The sequence below is a fragment of the Homo sapiens genome, chromosome 15 (assembly GCF_000001405.40).
Source record: "Homo sapiens chromosome 15, GRCh38.p14 Primary Assembly".
Classification (NCBI taxonomy): domain Eukaryota; kingdom Metazoa; phylum Chordata; class Mammalia; order Primates; family Hominidae; genus Homo; species Homo sapiens.
In genome coordinates this window covers 97,868,787-97,874,786 of record NC_000015.10, presented here as the reverse complement: position 1 = coordinate 97,874,786, position 6,000 = coordinate 97,868,787, and the positions used below count along the sequence as shown (strand labels likewise).

The window sequence follows — 6,000 nt, the reverse complement described above, 5'->3', positions numbered from 1 at the left end:
AGTGCTGCAGAGGGAGAGGCGTAACTGGGTTCAAATTTGCCGCTTGCTGCCTGTGAGTCAAGCCTCACAGGTTTGCATGGTTTGATTAAAATATGGCTTTAAAGATCTTAGCACAAAGCCTAGCACATGGTAAGCACTCACTGTGTGGAAGCTATTATATTATTTTCATTTTATTATGATAAATTGGGGCCGACTAGGTCAAGTCATCAAAGTTTGGCCCACCCATGGGATTTGTAGACTTTTGCAGGGCTGTGCCTCCTTTCCTCCCCAGACAAAATCCATCACGTCAGCAGTCACAGGGCACCCTGGTTCCCTCTCTGAATGAACTGTTAAATGACTAAGCTGGCTCCCAACAGAGGCAGAGCCCAGCAATATGCGGCCTGTAATCTGTCAGATGATACAGCAACAGGCCCAGTGAGGGGCCCGACACACCCCCCAGGAGAGTGGAGTCTCTCACTGCATGTGACGTGGAAGACGCCGAAGAGGTGAGGGAGGCACCATATGCTGCGGGCCTGCCAAGGGAGAATAAACAGCACCGGCAGCCTGGCACAGAGCTCTGGCGGGAACGTCCACCAAGATCGGTCAGGCACTCTCATGGCGTCCTCCTGGATACAGGCTTTTGCTTTTGTTTTTAATTTTGGAGCAGTGAAGCCGAAAGTGAGGAGTGAGGACAAGGAGAAGACCCATTTGCTCCTGTTCATTCAAACAGCATCTCTTCATTTTGAAATTGGCAAGAGGCAGTTCGGGGCTGTGGCAGGTCCTGTACACCACCTGTTGCCTCCCAAGTCACTGTGCCTTTCTGGCTTTCTTTACCTATGTCCTGTAAAACGCCAGGTAAGCAGTCCCCTGGGGTAGGGGGAAGGGGCATATATTTTTACAAAGGAGGTTTTTAAGGGGCAGGAGGGGGCAGGCAGATTTGGCGTGTAGAACAGAGTTGAACTCCATCTCTTTGTTCTTGAGATGTTTTGCTAATCCTGCTGCTGTCATAGTAGAGTGAGTGTAGAATTGGTCTTTCAAATGGGACAATTTTAAGGTTGAAAGAATATGCTATTTAGTCATATTACATTGGGACAATGAGCTTAGATCAAGTGTCCCAGGCAAAACAGAGTGTATGGCCCCTGATGCACTGAATTATGCCACCTTCACCCAAATTCACATTTTGCTGTCCAATCCTCAGTACTTTAGAATATGCCTGTATTTGGAATAAGGCCTTTAAAGAGGTGATTAAGTTAAAATGAGGCTAAGGTGGACCCTAATCCAATCTGACTGGTGTCCTTGTACGAAGAGGCAGTTTGGACACACAGAGATACCAGGGATGTGTGCACCATGTGAGGACCCAGCCAGAAGGTTAGCATTTGCAGGCCAAGGAGAGAAGCCTCAGGAAGAAACCAGCCTTGCTGATACCTTGACCTTGAACTTCCAGCCTCCAGAACTGTGAGAAATAAAGTTGTGTTGGTTAGGCCCCATCCAGTTTGTGGTATTTTGTTATGACAGCACTAGCTGACTAATATAATCACCTATTTTCTTCAACTTTCCTTATCTATAAAAATGGAGAGAATCATGTCTACCATTCTGGATTAAATTAGATAACATATACAATGTCTGGCACATTGCACAGTACTTTAATGCAATGTGTATGCACCTTGGCAGGCATACGCCTACTTAAGGCTACATCCTGAAAGTTCTTAGTTCTACCAATTCCTGGCAATGCACTGGGATTTGATTATAATACAGACAGTAAATATCCATCAATCCCATATAGCTCTTGAAAATGCTGGGTAGCTTGAAGGGCTTTTTCTTCTAGGGTTTTTATGGTTTTGGGTTTTATATTTAAGTCTTTAATCCATCTTGAATTAATTTTTGTATAAGATGTAAGGAAAGGGTCCAGTTTCTGTTTTCTGTGTATGGCTAGCCAGTTTCCCCAGCACCATTTATTAAATAGGTAATCCTTTCCCCATTGCTTGTTTTTGTCAGGTTTGTCAAAGATCAGATGGTTGTAGATACATGGTGTTATTCCTGAGGTGTCTGTTCTGTTCCATTGGTCTACATATCTGTTTTGGTACCAGTACCATGCTGCTTTGGTTACTGTAGCCTTGTGGTATAGTTTGAAGTCAGGTAGCGTGATGCCTTCAGCTTTGTTCTTTTTGCTTAGGATTGTCTTGGCGATGGGGGCTCTTTTTTGGTTCCATATGAAATTTAAAGTAGTTTTTTTTCTAATTCTGCAACGAAAGTCACTGGTAGCTTGATGGGAATAGCATTGAATCTGTAAATTACTTTGGGCCATATGGCCATTTTCACAATATTGATTCTTCGTATTCGTGAGCATGGAAAGTTTTTCCATTTGTGTCCTCTTATTTTCTTGAGCAGTGGTTTGTAGTTCTTCTTGAAGAGGTCCTTCACATCCCTCGAAGGGTTTTTTAACTTCAAATTTAAGGTAGAAAAAGAGATTATTTGTGAATGATTAAACTCAAACTCTGAAATGTGCACTAGAAATGCAGTTTACTATAATAAGGTTAATTTGAATATAATCCCAGGCAGAGAATATTCAGTGAAGCACGATGGCGTTCTGACAGGCTTTCCTGGTCAAGGCTGCCAGGCCATGGTTTCTGGTTGGGGCTCATCCGCATGACTCATCTCCTTGCATTGCCTGCCTTCCCCTGACCCTCTCCTTAACCCGACACACCTGTGGCGAGATCTTTCCTTTCTGTATCCTGACTCTGGTGACTCTCTGTGGATGTTTTCAGCCTCTGACTGCCATGCCTCAGAGCTCAGTCTGTGATTGAGGTTGGTGGGTTCTCAAAAAACATCTCCGGCCGGGCGCGGTGGCTCACGCCTGTAATCCCAGCACTTTGGGAGGCCGAGGCGGGTGGATCATGAGGTCAGGAGATCGAGACCATCCTGGCTAACAAGGTGAAACCCCGTCTCTACTAAAAATACAAAAAATTAGCCGGGCGCGGTGGCGGGCGCCTGTAGTCCCAGCTACTCGGGAGGCTGAGGCAGGAGAATGGCGTGAACCCGGGAAGCGGAGCTTGCAGTGAGCCGAGATTGCGCCACTGCAGTCCGCAGTCCAGCCTGGGCGACAGAGCGAGACTCCGTCTCAAAAAAAAAAAAAAAAAAAAAAAAAAACATCTCCATCTCCATCTTCCACCCTGCATTGGTGGGGGATGAGGGCTCCTTACCATAGGACAGGGAGGGGGCTTTCTCTACACGTGGGCTGGGTTCTCTGCATCTCTGCTCTCTAGCCTGGGTGCTCTCAGTTCTGTCTCCTTGGGACCCATGAATCTTTTCTGCATGGAACTTGCATGGGGCAAACACTGGCAGAGGCATCCCACACATCCCTCCTGGCTAGAGGCCTCAGGAGGATCTTGGGGCCATTGCCTACCAAACCAACATCAGGAAGAAAGCCCATGGTGGCATTTTCTCCCAGGCAGCTTTCCTGGGAATTACTCCAAGGCTGTCAACCTTCACTCTTCTGGTCTGAGGCACAAAGAAGGCATTGCCCTTCCTTGTGAAATGTGTAAGGAAATCTGCAGGGACTCACAGAGGCCGTCTTCAGACACTCATGTGACCAATATGCTTTGAGCCTTAGCTCATGGCCCAGGAGTGTTTAGGGTGCATCAGGTCCACCAGAAGGGGCAGCAAGGACAAGGCAACAGTCAAGCTAAGGCCTGAAGACTTGGGCCTGGATTCAAGTTCTTCTTGCCCCTCATTAGTTTTCTCTTCTAGGCTTTGATTTTATGTTCATCAGGCTGAGTCTTTTTGACTCCTGTTCCTGCAGCTGGAACATGCTGTAGTCATGTGATCAGTTTCCTGCCCTTTAGGGGGCTGCTGCTTATTTTAGAGAAAAGCCTTATTAAAAGAACCAATTCTGTTCAGCCATTCCACAAAGTCATGTTGGACCCCCTATTTGTCAGAAACTCATTCTTCTTTTCTTTTTTCTTTTTTTGAGACGGAGTCTCATTCTGTTGCCGAGGCTGGAGTGCAGTGGTGTGATCTCTGCTCACTGCAACCTCCGCTTTCCAGGTTCAAGCAATTCTCCTGCCTTAGCCCCCTGAGTAGCTGGGATTACAGGCATACACCACCACGCCTGGCTATTTTTTTTTTTTTTTTTTTTTTTTAGTAGGGATGAGGTTTCACCACGTTGACCAGTCTGGTCTCAAACTCTTGACCTCAGGTGATTGGCTAGCCTCGGCCTCCCTAAGTGCTGGGATTACAGGCGTGAGCCACTGAGCCCCGCCCAGATACTCATTCTTCATTCATTTATTCCTTTATTTATTCATGTATTCATCAGGTTTTTAAAAATGGTGTGCCTGGTAATAGTTTTAGTCGCTGGGGATTCAGCAAAGAACAAAACAAAGTCTTTACCCTTATCAGAGGGAGCAAGATATTAAAGTTTAGGGATAACCAAATATTACTCATTAGAGTTGATGCATGCTATGGGGAGGCCTGGGTGAATTGCAAATGTATGTAGGAGAGCCTGCACCCAGCTCTGTAATGTGAGCAGAGACCTGTTGGGATAAGGGGGTGAGTTTGCCAGAGTGCTGGAACAAGAGCATTCTAAGCAGGGCAACAGTAAGGGCAACGCAGGTGAGGAATGAATGTGTCATGCTCAGGACCCATGTGGCACTCAGAGTGGCTGGTCAGAGGGGGCCAGCAGGTGAGGTCCAGGATGAGAGGTCAGAGGGGCAACAAGTGGCTGGACCAGGCAGCCACTCTTCACTTGCCTTGGGCAAGTGAAAGGACTTTGTCACTCTGTGTGACATAAGTCGAGGTCTGATTTATATTTTGAAAGGATCACTTTGGCCAGGTGCAGTGTAATCCCAGCACTTTGGGAGGCCAAGGCAGGAGGATGGCTTGAGCCCAGGAGTTCAAGACCAGCCTGGGGAACATGGCAAGACCCCATCTCTATTAAAAAAAAAATTAACTGGGTGTAGTGGCACACACCTGTAATCCCAGCTCCTCAGGAGGCTAAGATGGATTACTTAAGCCCAAGAGGTCAAGCTTTCCAGACTGGAGTGCAATGGCATGATTATAGCTCACTGAAGCCTTGACCTCTTGGGGTCAAGACTCCATCTCCAAAAAAAAGAATAAAATAAAATAAAAAATAATAAAAAGAAATAAACTAAAAGGATCAGTTTGATTTCTATGTAGACGATAGACAGTGGCGAAGGTAGGGGAGTGGGAGTTGCACAAGGAGACTGGTTAGAAAGCTATGGCAATGGTCCAGGTGAGAAGATAGCTCCTGGATGGGCTTTGTTTTGGTTCACCTATGTTGAATGAAATGGCTAAATAGATACACCCCAAGCTGCCTGCTGACGGGGCAAGTTTAGCAGTGTAGTGCTGGTGGGGTTGTGCCACGTGGGAAATGATCCTGGTTAGACAGCGAGCCAGAGAAACCCACATCAGTTTCCATCGAGTGTCTGCCATACCCCAGGAACTTTCCATACCTTATGTCCAACTATCATAACAACATCTCAAGATATATTATTGCTTCCAACGTATGAATGAAGAAACTGAGGCCCAAAGAAGGTACACCACCGGTCCAAGGCTACACAGCCAGGACTTGGCAGAACCAGGCTCTCCCTTAAATCCATCTGTCTTCAGATCTGCTGTTTATTCGCTCTGCCATAAAGCATCTTGCACTTCCCTTTTTTTCATATGGATCCTTGAGATGTAGCACCTTTTGGGACTTGAAAATTTTAACAGTTAAAAAAAAATTTCCATAAGCCATCTCTGCATCTCCTGTAAGTTTCTGGCACGTGACTGCCCCTTCTGCCCATATTCACCAAAAAAAATACTGAATCCCTATTGAGAGACTGATCTGAAACTTCCATATCCTTCTAGAAGTCTAAAGCCTACATTTCTATTGGAAAATGTGGTGCAGATAACACAAAAAAACACCTTAAACTCTGATGTCATGGTTAAAAATGTAAAGAAAGCAAATCCATACAAAAATACTGAAATAACTTACTTTTTGAATCTTGAATTTCACTAGATCAA

At 45.7% G+C, this 6,000-nt stretch overlaps 1 long non-coding RNA gene across 2 annotated transcripts in view; it reads left to right on the top strand.

Moving 5' to 3' along the window:
• The first annotated feature begins 357 nt into the window (after positions 1-357).
• LINC00923 (long intergenic non-protein coding RNA 923) overlaps positions 358-6,000 on the top strand; it is a 131,814-nt gene continuing 126,171 nt past the window's right edge. For both annotated transcript variants that reach the window (NR_024173.1, NR_024172.1), the window contains exon 1: positions 358-834. This is a non-coding gene — a long non-coding RNA (long intergenic non-protein coding RNA 923). The remainder of the gene's footprint in view (positions 835-6,000) is intronic.